The sequence below is a fragment of the Homo sapiens genome, chromosome 12 (assembly GCF_000001405.40).
Source record: "Homo sapiens chromosome 12, GRCh38.p14 Primary Assembly".
Classification (NCBI taxonomy): Eukaryota; Metazoa; Chordata; class Mammalia; order Primates; family Hominidae; genus Homo; species Homo sapiens.
In genome coordinates, this window is record NC_000012.12 from 95,311,173 (window position 1) to 95,334,318 (window position 23,146).

The following is a 23,146-nucleotide window of genomic DNA, read 5'->3' on the forward strand; positions in this document are numbered from 1 at the left end:
TTTTAAATAATAAGCCATTTCTTTCCAGAAAAGATTTAAAGCAAGGAATAAATATCTATAAAGGCAATTTTTGAAACTTGACCCTTGTTTGGAATTTTCTAATTGAAAGTATGAGATAAGGTAGAATATGTGTAATTACTGGATTCTGAAGTCATTGAGTAGGAAATATCCCATATAGTAGTCCTTCCTTGTCTTCACAATTTGCTTTTGAAGGTCTTTAGCAGATGTGCTATAGCCATTGAAAATTAAGTTGGCAAATGGTAATTTTGCCTGAATGTACATCTGTAAAAATGAACATTTTCAGAATCTGATCATTAAAAAGTAGTCCCATTTAAAAGATCTCCAAATGTGTCTTTATGAGAAAATGTTCATGGTATACACATAAAATAGTCATCATACATGTTCCTAGAAATATATTCCTAGAAGATATTGTTTAAAGATAAGAAAACAGGCTCAGTAGTTTTCTCACTCAGTCACACACACAAAGTGTCAGAACCAGTATCCTAATTAGATAATTAGATCCTAAGAGATACCAACATCTGCTCTTCATCGTTATGATAAACTGCCTATGTATATACATTTCATTTTACAGCTAATCTCTAGGAGACGGTACAGAGACCTTGATTTTGGTTTTTTGTTGTTCTTCTTCTTTTTCTAAAAAGAGACAGGGTCTCACTGTGTTGTCCAGGCTGGTCTCAAACTGTTAGGCTCAAGTGATCCCCTTGCCTCAGCCTCGGGAATAGCCAGGATTACAAGTGCGAGCCACTGTGCCAGGCAAAGAGCCCTTAAATTTGGAAGTCATTAGACTTGAATTCTGGATTAAAAACTACTTCTCTAAAACTCAGGCAAATCACTTAACCATATTAAGCCACAGTTTCTTCTGTAAAAACAACAAACAGCATTAATTATGATTTATAAATGGGACTAGACCTCTGAAAGCCTCTTCCATTTTTAAAACTCTGTTCCTCTATTATTAATAAAAAGATACAACTCTACTAGGTAAAGCCAAGTTTGTCCTTCTGTGCAAGAGAGTTGCAAGAGAGAGCTTATTTTTAGGCACAGTAAATAACTTGAGAATATTCAACTGTTAGAGGTTGGACAGAAAGAATAAGAGGGGACTTCAGAGGCCAAAGCAGGCGGATCACTTAAGGTCAGGAGTTCGAGACCAGCCTGGCCAACATGATGAAACCCTGTCTCTACTAAAAATACAAAAATTAGCTGGGTGTGGTGGCACGTGCCTGTAATCCCAACTACTTGGGAGACAGACAGGAGAATCTCTTGAACCTGGGAGGAGGAGGTTGCAGTGAGCTGAGATCGCAGTAAGCTGAGATCGCACCACTGCACTCCAGCCTGGGAGACAGACTGAGACTCGGTAAGAAAAGGTGGCAGGGGAAGGAGACCCTAGTTTAAAAAAAAAAAAAAAATGTAGCTAGTTCCAGCACAGAACTTAATACTGCTGAGGGCAAAGTATACCCTTATATTTTCAAGCAATCCAACGCAAGTACTTGAAAGTTAAAGTGTACACATTCAAAAGGAACAATAGCTCCCTGTGATTACTTGTTATTCCTTTCTCCTTAGATAGCATAATCTTTTCATTATGAAGGGATGTCCTATTGCAAGGTTTTCTTTGTGGGTATACAAGTTTCTGGCTTATCTTCATTTCTGAAACAAAAGAATCTTTCTTATTTCATGTCTAGAACCATCTATGAAGCCATTGTTGGCTGTAATTGAGTTCTGTGTGGTTCCTTAATCTAAAATGGTTTGTCTCTGTTCTTTAGCACCCATGCCTGGCTATTAGCCATCAAGCCATTTATCTTGCTTGAACTTAGAAGATTAAGCTATGATACATGGGTCATGATAGCCAATGACAAGATTACAATAAAAAATACATACGTGAATATTTTATAAGATCTGAAGAACTTAATGATTCTTTCTAAACAGTGACATAAGGATGATTTTTAGCCAGTTTTTTTTTCCCCCAAAATGAACATGAAATACTTGTATCATTGGAGGGGGGGAAGATGAAATTTTAAAAATTGATAAGGACCAGGTGCGGTGGCTCAAGTCTTTAATCCCAGCACTTAGGGAGGCTGAGATGGGAGGATCACTTGAGCACAGGAGTTTGAGAACAGCCTGGGCAACATTGTGAAACTCCATCTCTATGAAAAATAAAAAATTAGCCTGGCATGGTGGCACATGCCTGTAGTCTCAGCTACTTGGGAGGCTGAGGTGGAAGGACTGCTTGAGCCCAAGAGGTTGAGGCTGCAGTGAGCCATGATTGTGCCACTGTACTCCAGCCTGGGTGACATAGCAAGACGCTGTCTCAAAAAAATTTGTTTTCAATATGTTGATAATGTTTCATTCTTATTTGGGGCTTATATTCACACATAAGAAAGTTTACCGTTCTGTATATATTCAAGCTATCACCTCATAGGCCTAACCTGGCGCCTAGAGAAACCGGGGCAGGGCTGTGTGTTCAGTTCTTGCAGGAATAGCTTAGTCTGATGATGTTTTATTGAGTTTTAATTTTAGTAGAACTTCAAAACCTGGAATAATCTAACCTAGAGGTTCTCAGCATTTTAACAACCAAGAACCCATGATACTCACCATGGGTGTCATGTTTTGAAGGTTTTCACCACAAAATCTACATTCATTAAAAGCCCTATAATTTGTGCACACACACATACACACACACACCCTTTTCAACATTAACCAAAGCCAGCCTGGCATGGCAGCTTACACCTGTAATCCCAGCACTTTGGGAGGCCAAGGCAGGCAGATCACTTGAGCCCAGAAGTTCAAGACCAGCCTGGACAATATGGCAAAAGCCCATCTCTACAAAAAAATACCAAAAAAAAAAATCAGTCACGTGTGATGGCACATACCTGTAGTCCCAGCTACCTGGGAAACTGAGATGGGAAGATCACCGGAGCCCAGAGGTCAAGGCTGCAGTGAGCCTTGATTGCACGCCACTGCACTCCAGTCTGAGCAACAGAGTGAGACCCTATATCGAAAAAAACAAAAATTAACCAAAGCCATAATGGCCACTCAGAGTGTTTGGTGCTAAGGACAGAGCAGGGAACAAGGTTTCTGCCCTCATTGAATACTAGAGGGGAAAGTTAGACAATAAATATATATTGGGAGGCAGGTGATGGTAAATGCTGTATAGAAAATAAAGCTGAACATGAGGGCTATGTGGGAATGGAGAATACTTTTTTATACAAGGTGGTCAGACATGAAAGGAGTGAGGGAACCATCCCCGCAAATACCACAGAGAGAAGAGTTTCCCAAAAGTAGTGAGAGGTAAGTGGCTAAAGCCCTGTAAGAACAGGGCTAGGAAGGTCAAGGAGCACCTTGTAATGAATGGAATATGGTTTTACTCTTAATGAGATAGGAAGCCACTGAAGGGTTGTAAGCAGTGGAGTTGACATGATTTCACTTAGGTTTGAAAAGCATTATTAAGTTTAAAAAGCATTCTTTTTCATGGAAGTCTGACAGGGATGGGGAGAAGGGAGACCTGTTGGTTATTGCAGTGATCTATGTGAGGGAGGATGGTTGGTGGTGAAGGTTGTGAGGAGGGTCAAATTCTGGATATATGGTGAAGGTAAGGCCAAGAGGGTTTGCTGATGTAATGAATCTAGTCTGAGAAAGGGGAAGTCTAAATAATTCTAAGGTGTTTGGTCTAAGAATCTGGAAGAACAGAGGTCCTTTTCTGAGATGGGACAGGCAGCTGGTTTTGGATAGGTTCAGTACGAAATAGCTATTAATCAACAGGTGGAAATGTTGAATAGGCAGTTTGATATAAGAGCCCAAGTTCGGCCAGGCGCGGTGGCTCACGCCTGTAATACCAGCACTTTGGGAGGCTGAGGTGGGTGGATCATTTGAGGTCAGGAGTTCGAAATCAGCCTGGCCAACATGGTGAAACCCCACCTCTACTAAAAATTACAAAAATTAGCCAGGTGTGGTGGTGCATGCCTGTAATCCCAGCTACTCAGGAGGCTGAGGCAGGAGAATCGTTTGAACCTGGGAGGATGAGGTTGCAGTGAGCTGAGATTGCGCCACTGCACTCCAGCCAGAGCGACAGAGCAAGACTCTTTCTCAAAATAATAATAATGGTAATACCAAAGTCATGAACATAGGTTGGAGTACTGTGTCAGAACTCTGACATCCTTGGGGAATCTACATTTCAGAGGTTAGGAGACAAAAAGGAACTTGCAAAGGAGACTGAAAAGGAGCAGTTGGTGACAGAAGTGGTGGCCTAGAAGCTGAATAACATTTTGTTATAAAAGAGGCCATGACTAACATGTCAAAAGCTGCCATAACATCAAGAAAGGTGGGGCCATTTGTATATCTTTTTTGAATAAATGTCTGTTCAGGTCCTTTGCTTGTTTTTGAATTCAGTTGTTTATTTTTCTTGTTGTTGAGTTGTATAGTTCTTTACATATTCTGGATATTAATCTCTTATCAGATTTTGCAAATTCTCCCATTCTGTAGGTTGTGTTTCCACTATCTTGACAGTATTCTTTGATGCACAAATGTTTTTAATTTTGCGGAAGTCCAATTTATTTTTCTTTTGTTGCTGAGTTTCCTTATCTTTTTCAAACAGGACAATAATGCTATCTGATTCATAGGCTTGTTATGTTGATTAAATAAATTAATACATGTTAATACAGATAAAGGGATTGAGACAGAGCCTCCCACATAAGAAGAACTCCATAAATGTTAGCTATCATCCAGGCTAAACTTACAGTATAAAACCCAGTGGTCAGCAGTATAAAATTAGGACATGTGACACAGAAGCCAGAGGAGGAAGGGGTTTAAAGAAGCACATGATCAACAGCACAAATCTTGCAAAGATGATAAAAACAAGCAAACAAGCAAACTTAGACATGACACCTAAAAGTCAGACAGTGGTGTTCAGGTCAGACGCCAAATTATACTGGATGAAGAAATGTTGCTAGACCCTTTCTGATCTCCAGAGCCAGATCTCCTGCTGTTTCAGCTCTTAGGGTGCTACAAAATGAGACAATCTGTTGGACTTTGCTGAGACATAGCAGAGAGAACACTAGATTTAACTGGGTTAAAGTGTCTGGTCTTTTACCACTTGATCTCTGTGGTCACCTCCCATAGCTCCAGTTCTCTCACTTATTGAGAACAATTATTCCTATTTCACAAGGGCATTGACAGGTTACAGTGAAGAGTAAGCATAATAGTAAGTCATTAATTATTAAGATCAGTACATGGCTCCTTTCTGACTGCATGCCTTGTTCTGTTATTCCAACACTGTTGGAATGAACACTGTTGTTCTTCCAGCACACCAGGTCCCACCAGCCACAGGCACCTGTGAGGTGGGACATTCCCATTTTACAGATACTTGGCTTATAGGTTTGCAATAATAAAATGAGATTAATACACATCAAATGCTGGCAACAATATTGGCGGCAGTTTTATTCTCATGGAAAGTTCTTGCCTGATTTTTAGTAGTGCTTTTCTCTTCAGGTCCAATTTCTGGGCCACTGTATTCCTCATAGCTTGCGATGTTCACCAACTTACCCAACCTCAGTGTTGCCATAAGAAGCAAGTGCTTATATATTATCATTGAACGTATCAATGGAGCTTTTTGTTCCCTCTGCTTTGGTTGCAGATATGAGAACGCACATTAAGTGGGTTATGAGTGTTCTGTTTGAGGATTTCATCTACTGGTGAATAAACAAAACATGGTGCTCTTGCTGGGTTCCTACAGCTACCAAAGCAAAGATGTCTTCGGTAGAGTAACTATGTCCGGTCCTGATCACTTTCGCCCTTGCAAGCCACATTTCAGAGCAGGATGTAAGTCATGTTTATTTAGTCTGGTTTTTACCCTGTTGTCTGGTTCCTGTTTATTCTTTTTTTAAGGTTTACATTTATTTTCTCTTTCTTTTCCTTTTTTTTTTTTTTTTTTTACAAAGTCTCACTGTCACTTAGCCTGGAGTGCAGTGGCACAATCTCAGTTCACTGCAGCCTCAACCTTCCTGGGCTCAGGTGATCCTCCCACCTCAGCCTCCCAAGTAACTGGGACCACAGTCATGTGCCACCAGGCCCTGCTAATTTTTGTATTTTTTTGTAGAGATGGGGTTTCGCCATATTGCCCAGGCTGGTCTCAAACTCCTGGGCTCAAGCGATTTGCCTACCGCAGTCTCCCAAAATGCCAGGATTACAGACATGAGCCACCGCACCTGGCCTATATTTGTTTTTGATTTATTACATATTCTAAGATACCTTAGGAATGAATAGATTTTGAAAATAGAGTAGGAAATTCTATAGAGAATACCTGAATGGTTTAGAAAAGCCAAAAGCGCTATTATGATTTTATAATATTTTGTTTATTAATAATGTATGGTAACAAATAGAATATTTAATTCAACATGCATTTATGGAATGACCTTCCTTGTACTAGACATACATTCACAGACATGCTCACATACATGCATGGGAATCCTAATTACCACTTCAGGCAACATAACAATTCCCCTGTTCACATTTAGTTTAATCACAGGACCCCTAAAAGAAGTTAATCAAGGCCGGGCATGGTAGCTGAGACCTGTAATCCCAGCACTTTAGGAGGCTGAGGCGGGCAGATCACTTGAGGCCAGGAGTTCGAGACTAGCCTGGCCAACATGGTGAAACCCTGTCTCTACTAAAAATACAAAAGTCAGCCAGCCATGGTGGCGGGCGCCTGTAATCCCAGCTACTCAGGAAGCTGAGGCAGGAGAATCTCTTGAACCCAGTAGGCAGAGGTTGCAGTGAGCCGAGATTGCACCACTGCACTCCAGCCTGGGTGACAGAGTGAGACTCCATCTCAAAAAAACAAGAAGTTAATCAAGTGGGCAATTTATTTCTCTGTGTTGTTCCCTTACATATTAAAACTATTCAGCTCATTTCTTTGGAATCACTCCCCCATGCCGCCATCCTCAATGTTTAAATTCCTTATTACTCATCAGGTTAATGTGAGAATCCTATTGCAAAAGCACTGTGTAAACTGAAAAGGTTTTCTTTTTATCTGGTTGGGGGATCCAGTCTGGCCTACTTTATCTAGTTGACTGCAGTGAGAGGTTAAATGTTTAAACCCTACCAGTTACACCATTGTTCCAGGAATTGAATTGAATGGAATTAAAAGACTTTTCCAAACAACTCAAACCAAGCAAACACTCCCTGATTTGTTCTCTCAAACAAAATATATTAGCCTGTGGCGACTAAATATTGACCTAATGACTAAATGAAAGCAAACAGATTCTATAATGCTCTGAAGTACTCACCACTCAACCTCAGTGAAACTCAATGAAACTTCCCAAGAAGCTTCCAGAGAGCAACTCTTTCAGTTAAGTAGGGACTGGAAAAGGTGCATGTCTTTAAGTAGAGAGAGTAGAGACCTCGAAAACACTCCCCCCTGAGAATCCTAAAAGTCTCATTTATATAAAAACAAACAGGAGACAACTCCCCACCCTATCTACCTGTGTGATATCCTATTTTAAAAAATAGACCAGGGGCTCAACATTGCTAATGGACCCATTTAACCCCCCATTTCTACACACACACGCACACACACACACACACACACACACACACCATCCTCACTACATTTACCACCATCATCACTAGTCAAAGTCGTAAAGATTGAGCTCCATATGTGAGTGTGACGCCCATTCCCTCAAAATACTATCAGCCCTTAGTATCTAAGGTTCCACATTCATGGATTCAACAAACTGCAGATGGAAAATATTTGGAAAAAAAAGAACAATCAATAATAAGTAATAATACAAATAAAAATGCAATACAACTATTTACATGACATTTACATTGTGTTAGGTATTATAAGTAATCTAGAGATTATTTAAAGTATATGGGAGAATGTGTGTAGGCATATGCAAATACTATGCCATTTTATATCAGAGACTTGAGCATCCTCAGATTTTAGTATTCTTGGGGGTTTCTGGAAGCCCAGACTACACCACTATGCAATATAGGTATGCAAGAAATATGCACTTGTGCACCCTAAATATACAAAAATTTTTAAAAATTAAAAATGGCTACTAAACTAGGTTAACTTTTAAAGCACAGAGCCATTACAGCTGTCACATAAAGGATAAGGAACAGCTGTGCACTGGGAATTCCTGATCTTAAAATAACTATCATGGCCACCCCCAGTGGCTCATGCCTGTAATCCCAGCACTTTGGGAGGCAGATGTGGGCAGATCGCCTGAGGTCAGGAGTTCAAGACCAACCTGGCCAACATGGTGAAACCCCGTCTGTACTAAAATATAAAAATTAGCTGGGCGTGGTGGTGCATGCCTGCAATCCCAGCTACTCGGGAGCCTGAAGCAGGAGAATCGCTTGAACCTGGGAGGCAGCAGTTGCAGTAACCCAAGATCATGCTGCTGCACTCCAGCCTGGGTGACAGAGCTAGACTCTGTCTCAAAAAAAAAAAAAAAACTATCACGACATCAATGTCAATCAGATTTTCATACTTCCTTGGTAGGTACTGGTTTTTCTCTCAGTCTACGAAAAGCTTTTTCTTAAGGCTCCAAGTAGAAGACATGTAAGCCTCTGTTCAAACATGCCTCTAAAAGCAGAAACTGGAAATGGGACTACAGGGTGACTGGCTGCTCACATACCATGTTTGGCTGGTGGGATTTGGTGAGGGAAGTTACTAAGTATATCCACATTAAGAGAGGACTTCCATTTCCCTTCTCTCTGTGACCATCCAGCCCCCCTTTAACACTGTGACCATTCCCCAAAGCTCAGCATGATGAAATCTCTGTTTCTTACCAATAACTGACCCCTAAGTTCTTAAACTTGTTTTGATAACCACATCCCTGTTGACTTGCCATACAGTCACAGAAAAACCTCTCAATGCAGCTTTATAAGATAGGCCTCCTTGCCAAGGAGAACCTGCATTCTAATTCCTCAGATTCAAACCAGACATGCCCAAACCACCTGCTTCTAGATATTTGTACTGGTCTCCATGGTACCAGACTCACATACTTAGAGTGAACTTTGAAGAGTTCAAAGCCACACTGAAGGAGGTACTAGACTTGGAAAGAAAACAGAATGAAAAATTCAATTATTTGTAATTGTCTAATTATTAGTTGGTTTTCTTCAGATTAATTCTTTTTGTTTTGTTTTGTTTTGTTTTGTTTTGTTTTGTTTACAAACTCTGTTTTTTGAGACAGAGTCTTGCTCTGTTGCCAGGCTGGAGTGCAGTGGCATGATCTTGGCTCACTGTAACCTCTGCTTCCCGGGTTCAAGAAATTCTCCTGCCTCAGCCTCCCGAGTAGCTGGGATTACAGGCATGCAACACCACGCCCAGCTAATTTTTGTATTTTTAGTGTAGATGGGGTTTCACCTTGTTGGCCAGGATGGTCTCCATCTCCTGACCTCATGATCCGCCCGCCTTGGCCTCCCAAAGTGCTGGGATTACAGGCGTGAGCCACCACGCCTGAACAGATTAATTCTTTTCTTAAACTCCATGCAGTATTTATTTTGTTTTTTAGAGGAGAACTAGGGGCCCATAAAAATAGCTATAAGTATTTATGTTTCTGTGGCCCATCTTGTACGGCTCTCACTGGGTAAGGTGTTAAAAGTGAAACTGCTGTTTAGCTTTCAAGCATATTCTGTTTGTGTGAATTCTCCCTGTCCTAAGCTTCAATTACTTGATTTTTCTTTGAGACAGAGTCTCTGTTGCCCAGGCTGGAGTGCAGTGGCACGATCTTGGTTCACTGCAACCTCCGCCCCCTGCATTCAAGCGATTCTCCTGCCTCAGCCTCCTGAGTAGCTGGGACTACAGGCGCATGCCACCATGCCCTGCTGATTTTTTAGTAGAGGCAGGGTTTCACCATGTTAGCCAGAATGGTCTTGATCTCCTGACTTCATGATCTGCCTGCCTCTGCCTCCCAAAGTGCTGGGATTACAGATGTGAGCCAACGCGCCTGGCCACATTTCCTTGATTTTTCTAGCCACTCTCTCTGTTATCATGCAGGAAAAAGTGGAGAAAAGGTAATTTACTTAGAAGAATAAAGAGCAATCAATTTCACTCTCAATACTTTCCCCTGTAAAAGCCCTAATGGAAGTGTCACCCAACCTTCCTAACTAGCAGTGTTATATTAGGTTGCCGCAAAAGTAATTGCAGTTTTTACCATTAAAAGTATGCAATTACTTTGCACCAACCTAATAGGAAGCAAACTTTCAAAGTCATTGATCTCTCAACAGCTATGCCTTTCTATTCATGTTACACTATGGAATTAGGATAGGCACCTATGAAGACTTTTCCAAACTAGAGCTCATGGCTAAACACGTGATTTTGCATGTGATTGCACAGGTGAGTCAAATCAGGCTCACATTATATCTCACTTTATCAGTGAGGCCAATCAGACTTTATCTCTTATGGGCTGCATCTGAAGCAGAAACTTTCCAAGATAGACAACATGAAAAGTTGATGCCATCTGGAAGCAGCGCCCTGGAAAGAAGGGTGCAGAGTGTCTGCTGCTGAGATTATTGAGGCTGCCCTGGCTCCCGCCTCTCCCAGGGTTTTACCAAGGAGCTGATGAAGGCTGTCTTTGACTCTGTAAATTGCCCTAAATCCTTTAAACCAACACCCCACTTAGGTTAATCAGAATTGGTTCCTGTTGCTTGCAACTAAAGATCTTTGGTTGATTAAGAAACAAAACACAGACCTGCATGCCTGTTAAGTGGAGTGGAGGATAACACTAGGAGGAAGAATGTCAATTTTTTTTGTCACTACCTCTTCCTTGTTGTTCAATGTATTTATAATTAGAAGGTACATTTAGAAATTCAAAAAGGAAGGAAACCTTTGAGCTTTGATACAGAATAATTTATTCGGGAACATTTGCTGGCTGAGCCAAACAGATTTCTAGTTTGTGTGCTATTTGTACAGCTCCATGAAAATCAGTTCACTTCCTCTACAGCAAAAATAATTTTTATGACACTCTTAACCTTGATGTCTGACTACATCCTTCTTGTTATTTTTTTTTTTTTTTTTTGAGGGAGCATTGGGGATGAGGTCCTTTTTTTTCAACCTTTTAAAAATTCAAATTCAGTGGTTTTTACTATATTCACAAGGTTGTACAACCATTACTACTATCTACTTCAAGAACATTCTCATCCCCCTAAAATAAACCCCATATCCACTAGGAGTCACTTCCCATTTTCCCCTCACTCCAGCATCTGGAAGCCACTAATCTAGTGTCAGTCCCTATAGATTTGCCTATTCTGAACATTTCATATACATGAAATCATACAATTTGTGGCCTTTTGCGTCTGTTTTCACTTTGCATGATGTTTTCAAGATTCTTCAAGAGGGCTTTTAAAAATATAGCCCTTAGGCCGGGGGCAGTGACTCATGCCTATAATCCAAGCACTTTGGGAGGTCTAGGCGGGTGGATCACCCGAGGTCAAGAGTTTGAGAACATCCTGGCCAACATGGCAAAACCCTATCTCTAGTAAAAAGACAAAAATTAGCTGAGTGTGGTGGTGTGCATCTGTAATCCCAGCTACTTGGGAGGCTGAGGCAGGAGAATCATTTGAACCCAGGAGACGGAGGTTGCAGTGAGCCGAGATTGCGCCACAGCACTCCAGCCTGGGCGACACAGCGAGATGCAGTCTCAATATATATATATATATATATACCCCTTAGTCAGGCTCTCATCAAATACAAAATTCATCTCAATAACTTTCTCTGTATATATGTAGAGACACTCCTGGAATCATTTTCCCTTTAAGATCTTATGAAGATTTATGATTTTGAACTCTAATGACTTGTGGATATATTCATGAGGACGGAAGGAAGGGTTTTTCCCTTTAAGATCTTATGAGAATTTATGATTTTGAAATCTAATGACTTGTGGATATATTCATGAGAAAGGAAGGAAGGGAGGAAGGAAGGAAGGAAGGGAAGGAGGGAGGAAGGAAAGGAAGAAAGAAAGGAAAGAAGGAAGAAGGATGGAAGCAAAAAAAAGAAAAATTTTTATAGGATAAAAACAAGGCCTAGAACCTTCTAAGGAACACCTTGGGGTCACCCTTTTCTGCTGCCCCTCTTTCTCACTATCCCTCTTTTTCCTTATCTTTATTTTTATTAGACCATTGATCACTCCCAACATAGTATTTATTCAGATATGTTGACTCAAGTCCTTGGAACACCTCCAAGTGGAACAGTCCAGTATGCCTTTGGGTATATGGGCCCAAGGCACAGGGGGATGTCTGAGCTGGTGGTGGACATTTGGGTGTCACCAGCATAAAGAACTAGTCACTGAAGCTGCAGGAAACTGTGGACAGTTTGAAGAGGACTCATGGCAGGCAGGACACTGAGGCATGTGACATCCAGGAGGGGCATTCCTCAACCAGGAATGCTCTCTTAAATATCTTGACCCCTTCATGATCCAGATCAAAAGAATTAGTTTTCCCATTTGCAATTCATCCTTCCTTTTTCTGGTTTTTGGAGGACACAACATTCTAAGCCCTGTGTTCTTTAATTTAACACTGACTATAAATTATTATTGAAGCAAGCCACAGCAGTTTAACAGCAGACCTGAGTATTTATCAAGACAAATACTCAACAACCCAATACATCTTAGACAGATTTAAGAAAAAGGATGATAAGTGTTACATATAAGCTACCATAAAGTGTACACTTATTCTGTAGCTTGTCAGTTTAAAGGTGTCTTTCTCAGATTGTTTGCTAAGGAGGGCAAAGAACTTTCTGATGATATAGAAAGATTTGTTGTAATGGTTCCAAGTCAACAAGATGGTTGACTTCTATCCACGAGACCATAAATATTTGTAATTAGAAACTGCATTTGTTAAGATGATATTTGTTTACTTAAAGTTATAAACTATATTTGCATAAGAGGTTGATTTTTACCCACCAAGCTTGAAATAATTAACTTCATCGACTTTATTCTGTAGCTTCTCTAGACTCTAGAGAAGCCTAGGGGATGTGGGGGGGAGAAAAAATAAACAAACTGGTGCCTAAGGTTTTTTTCCAACCAGAAAGCATCTAGATATTTTGTCTGGATTTCTTCCTACAGGCTTGTATTTTAATAAGCCTGGCAACTCTAGCACTCTAGCAATTATTTCTGGAATATTATTTCTGGAAATAATTGCGTCAGTTTTTCTTCATCACTTGCCTAAGAAACGTGTCTTTTTTTTTTTTCTTGAGATGGAGTCTCACTCTGTCGCCTAGGCTGGAGTGCAGTGGTGCAATCTTGGCTCAATGCCACCTCCGCCTCCTGAGTTGAAGCGAAGTTCTCCTGCCTTAGCCTCCTGAGTAGCTGGGACTACTGGTGCCTGCCACCACACCTGGCTAATATTTGTATTTTCAGTAGAGACAGGGTTTTGCCATGTTGGCCAGGCTGATCTTGAACTCCTGATCTCAAGTGATCCGCCCACCTCGGCCTCCCAAAGTGCTAGGATTACAGGCACAAGTCACCACGCCTGACCAAGAAATGTATCTTTTCCAAAGTGTTCAACCAGCAACTGGGAGCTCAGTAGTAATCCCCTGATATGGCTGCAGCTCTGCCCTTAGAAAAGGCATTTTTCTGATTGACTGTTAGAATTAGGGGGATACCTAGAGATCATTTAATCCAGGCTCCCTTGATTTACAGATAAAGAGACTAAGGACCAGAAAGGTAAAGTATCTGTGGTCTCCCAACAAGTCAGAGGTTGACCAGGACTAGGATCAAGGTTTGCTGCTTTTCCTACACTGCCTCTCTTTTCTATTGTTTTTGAAATCTTTCTATATTGTGATGAATATATGTATCATAAAATTGACCATTTTAGCCATTTTTAACTGTACAGTTCAGTGACATTAAGTACATTCACATTGTTGTACAACCATCGGCACCATCCACCTTCAGAACTTTTTCATTATTCTAAACTCCCAGAGTCACTGTTTAATAACTCCCCGTGCTCCCTCCCCTATCCCTGGGAACCACTGTTTTGTTTTTTGTGACTATTCTAGGTACCTTATGTAAGTGGAATCATATAATATTTGTCCTTTTGTGTGTCTCATTTCACTTAGCATTGTCTTCAAGGTTTATCTGTGTTGTTGAATGTGTCAGAGGTTCATTCCCTTTTAAAACTGAACAATATTCCACTGTCTACATACACACACACACACCCACCCACACACACACACACACCACATTTGTTTATCCCTTCATCTGTTAATGGAAACTTCAGTTGTTTCCACCTCTTGGCTGTGTGAATGATGCTGCTATGAAATAATTATCTGTTTGGGTATATAACCATATGTGGAATTGCCAGATCATTGAGGAAATGCCATACTGTTTTCCATAGGGGCTGTACCATTTTACATTCCTGCTCCTTGTTATTACTATTATTATTTTGTGGAGACGGAATCTTGCTATGTTGCTGGGCTTGAAATCCTAGGCTCAAGTGATTCTCTCACTTCGGCCTCCCAAAGCTCTGGGATTACAGGCGTAAACCACTGCACCAGGCCTACTCATTCTTTATTTATTTATTTATTTATTTATTTATTTATTTATTTATTTGATGTGCAGTAACATTTAGAAAGAGGATTGGATTGAAATTTGTCAACCCCAACCTCAGGACTGATTAGCTATATAATCTTGGGTAAGCCAATTCACTCCTCAGACTCAACCTCCCCAGTCAGGACGAGAGAAATGCTTTGCTGACCTCACAAAACTGTTATAAATGTGATATACATACAAGATGAAATACACCAAATGCTTTATAAATTAAAACAGGTTCTTTGATGTAAATTATTATTAGCCATTTATACTAAATTCAAGTCAAATCCAACTCTAAAGGAGAAAACTCTGAGGTATTAGGAAGGAAAGAGCTCTTTATTAGTAAGGAGAGAAACGTATTGTCCGGCAAAGATTTTTTTTTTTTTTTTTTTTTTTATACAGAGTTTCACTCTGTTGCCCAGGCTGGAGTACAGTGGTGAGATCTCTGCTCACTGCAATCTCCACCTCCTGGGTTCAAGCGATTCTCCTGCCTCAGCCTCCCGAGTAGCTGGGATTATAGGCACATGCCACCACGCCCAGCTAATTTTTGTATTTTTAAGAGACGGGGTTTTGCCATGCTGGCCAGGCTTGTCTCGAACTCCTAACCTCAGGTAATCCTCCTGCCTCGGCCTCCCAAAGTGTTGGGATTACAGGCGTGAGCCACTGTGCCCAGCCCAAGACTTTGAACTAAAGGTCTTTTTTTCTAAAACCTAGGCAGTTGGACCTTAAATAAAGAATGCTGTTCCTAAGCACAAGCACTAAGTTACAGTCAGCTTGGGGGAGGTTGAGAAAAGGGCAAAATGGCACATTTGAAAGCAGCAGTGGCTGGGGTCTGCCAGCTGCTTCAGCCTGAAGCTCTGTAATTCAGTGTTTTATCAGAAACATTTAGAACTGTGTTCACAATCCTCTATAAACACGTCATCCCTATGACAATGTGGCTTATCCCTTTGATTGATGATAACAGTTGCTGAAATATGTCCAACAAATTTCTTCATCTGAACTTAAATTACAGGCTTAGTTTTACTTCTGTAGATTAAACAGTAGCCTCTCAAATAGGAAATAAAAACTCCATGCTCACTTTTGAAAAAAGTTAGGGATACCTGTTTTATTAAATTCATTCTTCATCACAAAGCAACTAGACAAATATTGATTTTGTAGTTACTGTAAAGGATTGAACAAAAATATGAAGAGCAGAGTTTCTACTCAAATGTGATCAAAGTCAACACTGAGGATCTCACGAGATTAAAACAATGCTACTAACCTGGATAAGGTGGCATCCCCCGAAAGACTATTTTCTTACCCTTTTTTGTTTGTTTGACAGAGTCTTGCTCTATCACTCGGCTGGAGTGCAGGGATGCAATCACAGCTCACTGCAGCCTCAAACTCCTGGGCTCATTTTTTTCTTACCTCACATGCACTTATATTTCTTCAGGCAACTCTTTTCTGCATCTATCCTAAGTAGTATCCCTGCCCTTTTTTTTTTCTTTTTTTTTTGATACAGAGTCTCACTCTGTCGCCCAGGCTGGAGTGCCGTGGCACCATCTTGATTCACTGCAACCTCTGCCTCCCAAGTTCAAAAGATTCTCCTACCTCAGCCTCCTGCGTAGCTGAGATTACAGGTGTGCGCTACCACGCCTGGCTAATTTTTTGTATTTTTAGTAGAGATGAGGTTTCACCATGTTGGCCAGGCTGGTCTCGAACTTCTGACCTCAGGTGATCCGCCTGCCTCGACCTCCCAAAGTGCTGGGATGACAGGCGTGAGCCACCACGCCCTGCCAGTAGTATCCCATTTTTAAAGACACCAAAGGCCTATGGTGTTTTTATGACGTGATGCTGAGCTCCTTAACTATTAAACAAAAAAGGCTATTGGACCTAGAGAGTGTGTATATGGTCTTATTGGCCAGGAAAGCGACTTTCTTCCTAGGCTCCAAAACTCTATGGTAGGGACAGCGAAGCAAAATCAGTGTTTTGTGCATCTGGTACTAAGGAGGGGAAAGGAGATGTTCAGGATCATAAGGTCAAGGGGAGACTGAAGAATAGGGGAAGAGGGTGAACCCTGGGAAGAAAAGTAATTGCCAAGAAAAAAGGGGCCCAGAGAATAGAAGGAAGGCACCCCCTCAGGGTAGGAATTTCTTCTGCGATATCTCCTTTAAAAATTATATTCTAGCCTCTGGAAAAAAGAGCTCACTGCTTTATAAGGCTATTCATTCCAACATTTGGACAACTCTAATTTTTTAAACATTCTTCTTTAAAATATTTTACCAGCTTGGGCAACACAGCAAGACCCCATCTCTAGGCTGGGCACAGTGGTTCACGCCTGTAATCCAGCACTTTGGGAGGCCGAGGTGGGCAGATCACAAGGTCAGGAAATCGAGACCATCCTGGCTAACATGGTGAAACTCCATCTCTACTAAAAATACAAAAAATTAGCTGGGCAATGGCACACGCCTGTAGTCCCAGCTACTCAGGAGGCTGAGGCAGGAGAATGGCGTGAACCCAGGAGGCGGAGCTTGCAGTGAGCCGAGATCGTACCACTGCACTCCAGCCTGGGCGACAGAGCGAGACTCCATCTCAAAAAAAAAAAAAAAAAAAAAAAAAAAGACCCCTCTCTACAAAAAATGAAAACATTAGCCGAGCATAGTGGCATGTGCCTGCTGTCCCAGCTACTTGAGAGGTTGAGGTGGGAGGATCACTTCAGCCCAGGAGGTCAAAGCTGCAGTGTGCCATGCTCACGCCACTGCACTCCAGTCTGGTGACAGAGTGAGACTTTATCTTTAAAAATAAATAAATAAATAAGTAATTTAATATCCAGCAACACATGATGTGTTAAATAATAAATTATGGGATATCCACATAATGGAATATTATGCAGCCCACACAATTGATGCTACTATGAAAGAATGTAGTAACAATACTTAGTGATATAAGGACTTCCCTATAATATGCTTATAATATGTTGTTCTATGTACTCCAGAATCCTAATTTGGCATGTGTATATGTGTATGTGTGTGTGTCTATAAATATTGGGAGGTTCTACAAGCACCACCTCAGAGATACTGCAGGTTTGGTTCTAGACCACTGCAATAAAGCAAATATCACAATAAAATGAGTCACAGATTTTTCTTGGTTTTCCAGTGAATATAAAAGTTATGCTAATACTATATTGTAGGCTATAAAGAGTGCAATAATAGCATTGTCTAAAAAAGGTACATACCTTAAATAAAAAATACTTTATTGCTAAAAAGTGCTAAGGATCATCTGAGCTTTCAGTGAGTCATAATCTCTTTGCTGGTGGAGGGTCTTGCCTTGATGTTGATGGCTGCTGACTAATCAGGGTGGTGGTTGCTGAAGGCTGTGACTGTGGCAATTTTTAAAAATAAGACAACAATGAAGTTTACTGCATTGATTGACTCTTCCTTTCATGAAAGATTTTTCTGTGGCCTGCAATGCTGTTTGATAGCATTTTCCTTAGAGTATACCTTCTTTCAAAATCAGAGTCAATTGGCTAGGTGCAGTGGCTCATGCCTGTAATTCCACTGCTTTGGGAGGCCGAGGTGGGCAGACCACCTGAGATCAGGAGTTCAAGACCAGCCTGGACAACATGGTGAAACTTAAAAAAAAAAAAAAGGTGTAATAGAAACCCATCTCTACTAAAAATACAAAAATTAGCCAGGCGTGATGGCACACAACTATAGTTCCAGCTACTCAGAAGGCCGAGGCATGAGAATCATTTAAGCCCAGGAGGTGGAGGTTGCGGTGAGCCAAGATCGTGCCACTGGCCGGGCATGGTGGCTCATACCTGTAATCCCAGCACTTTGGGAGGCCGAGGTGGGTGGATCACGAGGTCAGGAGTTCGAGACCAGCCTAACCAACATGGTGAAACCCCGTCTCTACTAAAAATACAAAAATTAGCCAGGCGTGGTTGTGTGCGCCTATAATCTCAGCTACTTGGGAGGCTGAGGCAGGAGCATTGCTTGAACCTGGGAGGCGGAGGTTGTGGTGAGCTGAGATTGTGCCATTGCACTCCAGCCTGGGCAGTAAGAGCAAAACTCTGTCTCAAAAAAAAAAAAAAAAAAAAAAAAAAAAAAAAAGATCGTCCCACTGCCCTCCAGTCTGGGTGAGTGAGTGAGACTCTGTGCCCCCACCAAAAAAAGGAGTCAATCCTGTCCAACCCTGCTGCTGCTTTATCAACTAAGGTTATATAAAATGCCAATCCTTTGTGTCATTTCAGCAATGTTCACAGCATCTTCACCAGAAGTAGATTCCATCTCAAGAAACCACTTTCTTTGCTGATTTATAAGAAGCAACTCCTCATCCATTCAAGTTTTATGAGATTGCAGCAATGCACATCTTTAGGCTCCATTTCTTTCTTTTTTTCTTTTTCTTTTTTTTTTTTTTTTTTTTTGAGACAGTGTTTTGCTCTTGTTGCACAGGCTAGAGTGCAAAGGTATGATCTCAGCTCACTGCAACCTCCACCTCCTGGGTTCAAGCGATCCTCCTGCCTCAGCCTCTCAAGTAGCTGGGATTAAAGGCATGCACCAACACGCCCAGCTAATTTTATATTTTTAGTAGAGACAGGGTTTCTCCATGTTGGTCAGGCTGGTCTCGAACTCCCCACTTCAGGTGATCTGCCCGCCTCAGCCTCCCAAAGTGCTGGGATTACAGGCATGAGCCACCGCGCCTGGCTAGGCTCCACTTCTAAATCAAGTGTCACTTCTAAATCTAGGTCTCAACTGTGAGTTTAAAATATTTAGTAAACCATGGTAGAAACAGATGTGCTGTCATCTAGGCTTTGTTGTTCTATATAGAGCGCAGGCAGAGTAGATTTAGCATAATTCTAAAGGGCTCTAGAATTTTTGGAATGGTAAATGAGCACTGGCTTCAACTTAAAGTCCCTAGCTGCACTAGCCCTTAACAATAGAGTCAGCCTGTCTTTTGAAGCTTAGAAGCCAAGCATTGACTTCTCTACAGCTACAAAAGTCCTAGCTGGCATCTTCTTCCAATACAAGGCTGTTTCTGTACAGGATTCCTAACGTATGGTAAGTAAAGATGTCACTTTCTAACAGGCCCAGAAGCCCCAAGCTATCTTGGGACCTCAAGAGGAGAGGAATTTACTCAACTCCTAGGTATTTGAGGATACAAACCCATGGCTGGGCTCAGCTTTAAAAAGGTCTTATCTGAGATTCCTTATGGAACAGAGTTCCATCAACGCCAACTTTAAAATCCTATATGAAAAAAAAATTATTCTTGCTGTACTTTATACAAATAATCAGGCCAAGTATAATAAAGCAAATCAGTCTTACCATGATTTGTCTTTAGTAAAAATGGGAGACTGGAGAGAGAAAAAATTAATGTTTCAAGAACTATGGTACACCTGATATTAGATTCTAGTCTCATTGGTTGTTTTTGAGGGGTTTTTTCCACTGCAATTTAGGCTAACTTTGCTTATTCCTGTGAACCAATCAGTGATCTCCAACTGCAGCTCAGAAGAAACCAGAGGGATGGGTAGTATAAAAAATCTAGATCAATATTCTAATTCTGGGCACATACTGGAATCAACTAGCGACCCCATATCAGCTTGGTTCCAGCAGTTGCCCAGTTCATAGAAAGCCTTCTTATTTAGTTTACTCAGGATAATTTTACTTATTTTGCTTTACTCTTGTGGAATATATTGCTATTGTACTCTTTGTATAGGAATGAGGAATAAACTTACTCAACGTTTACCTAAATTGAACATTTATTAATCTTCCAGATATCACGTTTGGTCAGAACTCAAAGTTATGAATGGACCTCAACATACTAATGCTTTTGACTGAGCTCCTCTCTACCCTGAATGCAAGAGACCCAGTAGTTAGGCAGGAATATCATTGCGCCTATTCAGCTTGAATAAGTTATAGAAGATGGATCTTCATCCCTCTGCAACCCTTAGGATTAAAGTTTCTCTTATAAAAGAGAGGGGGGAAATGTCAGAGGCATTTGAACTGGAGCGACTCCATCTTGGATAGAGACTAAGTAAAATAAAGCTGAGACCTCCTGGGTGGCATTCCCAGACGGTTAGGCATTCTAAGTCACAGGATGAGTTAAAAGGTAGGCACAAGATATAGGTCATAAAGACCTTGCTGATAAAACGGGTTGCAGTAAAGAAGTCAGCCAAAACCAAGGTGGCGACGAGAGTAACTTCTGGTCATCCTCACTGCTACACTCCCACCAGCGCCATGACAGTTTACAAGTGCCATGGCAATGTCAGGAAGTTGCCCTATATGGTCTAGAAAGGGGAGGCATGAATAATCTACCCCTCATTTAGCATATAATCAAGAAATAATCATAAAAATGGGCAACCAGCAACCCCTGGGGCTTCTTTGTCTGTAGAGTAGCCATTCTTTATTCTTTTACTTTCTTAATAAACTTGCTTTCACTTAAAAAGAAAAAAATATATATATGGCTGTTTCATCGATGTTAAAAATCTGTTATTTAGTGTAGCCACCTTCACCAATGATCTTAGTTAGATCTAGAGAACTTACTGCAGCTTCTATATTTAGGACTTGCTGCTTTACCTTGCACCTTTATATTACAGAGACCACTTCTTTCCTTAAACCTCAGGAACCAACATCTGCTAGCTTCAACTTTTTCTCCTGCACCTTCCTCATCTCTCTCAGCCTTCATACAATTGAAGAGAGTTAGGGCCTTGCTCTGGATTAGGCTTTGGCTTAAGGGAATGTTGTGGCTGATTTGATCTTCTATCCAGATGACTAAAATTTTCTCCCTGTCAGTAGTAAGGCTGTTTTGCTTTATTATCATTTGTGTATTCACTGGAGTAGCATTTTCATTTCCTTCTAGAACTTTTCCTTTGCATTCACAACTCGACTAAACTGAATGGTGAAAGGCAGCCTTGCTCTCGGCCTATGTCAGCTTTCAACATGCCCTTCTCACTAAGCTTAATCATTGCTAAATCATAGCTTTTGATTTAAAGTGAGAGTTGGGCAAGTCTTCCTTTCACTTGAATACTTAAAGGCCACTGTAGCCCTAATTTCAATATTGTTGTGTCTCAGGGAATAGGGAGGCTAGAGGAGAGGGAAAGAGATTGGGAAAATAGCCAGTCAGCAGAGCAGTCAAAATACACGCAACATTGATCAAAATTAAGCCATTTTATATGGGCTTGGTTTGTGGTGCCTGAAAACAGTTACAATAGTAACATCAAAGATCATTGATCTCAGATCACTCTAAGAAATATAATAATAATGAAAAGTTTGAGGCCAGGCGCTGTGGCTCATGCCTTTAATCCTAATACTTCAGGAGGCCAAAGTGGACAGATCGCTTGAGCCTGAGAGTTCAAGGCCAGCTTGGGCAACATGGCGAGACCCCATAGCTAATAAAAATACAAAAAATTAGCTGGGTGTCGGGGTGCGCGCCTGTACATCCAGCCACTCGAGAGGCTGAGGTGGGAGCTCAGGAAATGGAGGCTGCAGTGAGTTAAGATCACACCACTGCATTCCAGCCTGGGTGACGGGAGGGAGACCCTGTCCTTAAAAAAAAAAAAAGTTTGAAATGTTGCTACAATTACGAAAATGTGACCCAGAGACATGTGGTGAGCTCATGCTGTTGGAAAAATGGTGCTGATAGACTTGCAGGACACAGGGTTGTCAAAAATCTTCAGTTTGTAAAAATCACGATATTTGTGAAATGCAATAACTACAAAGCACAGTAGAATGAGGTGTGCTCATACACCTAACCATTAGCAGTGCTTAGTTCTGGGTAGCAGAAGTGTGAATGCTTTTAATTTCTTTCTTTATGCTTTTCTGCATTTTCAAAAATCAAAGTATACCAGAGGACCCTCCCTGCAAATAATCTGTGGTGCTGACTTCTCACAAAGCAGTCATATAAGCCTCCAAAGACCTTCAGGATCGGAATACTAAGAAGGTAAAATAAATTGGAAGATGTGGCCTGGGTGCAGTGGCTCACGCCTGTAATCCCACCACTCTGGGAGGCCTAGGCGGTGGATCACCTGAGGTCAGGAGTTTGAGACCAGCCTGGCCAACATAGCGAAACCCTGTCTCTACTAAAAATACAAAAATTAGCCCGGCCTGGTGGAAGGCACCTGTTAATTCCAGCTTCTCGGGAGGCCGAGGCAGGAGAATCGCTTGAACCCAGGAGGTGGAGGTTGCAGTGAGCCGAGATTGTGCCACTGGACTCCAGCCTGGGTGACAGAGCAAGACTGTCTCAAAGAAAAGAAAAGAAATAGGAAGATGAGTAGATGTGTGCACATCTCTGCAGGGACAGAAAGATATGGGTGTTCCTGGAGCTGCTTACTGCTCTGTTCTGGTAAGTCCCAGAAAGTTCTCAATCTCTGCTGCCCAAGGCCTCCTCTCATAAATCCTTTTACCCTCTCTGCTGATCATGTGGTTGGTCCCTGCAGGGTAGAGGCTACCAAAACTCTGATAAAATATCCTTAATATATACTGAATAGGATACAAAAATGCATGTGGAGTGGAGCACGGTGGCTCATGCCTGTAATCCCAGCACTTTGGGAGGCCGAGGCAGGTGGATCACCTGAGGTCAGGAATTTGAGATCAGCCTGGCCAACACGGTGAAACCTCATCTCTACT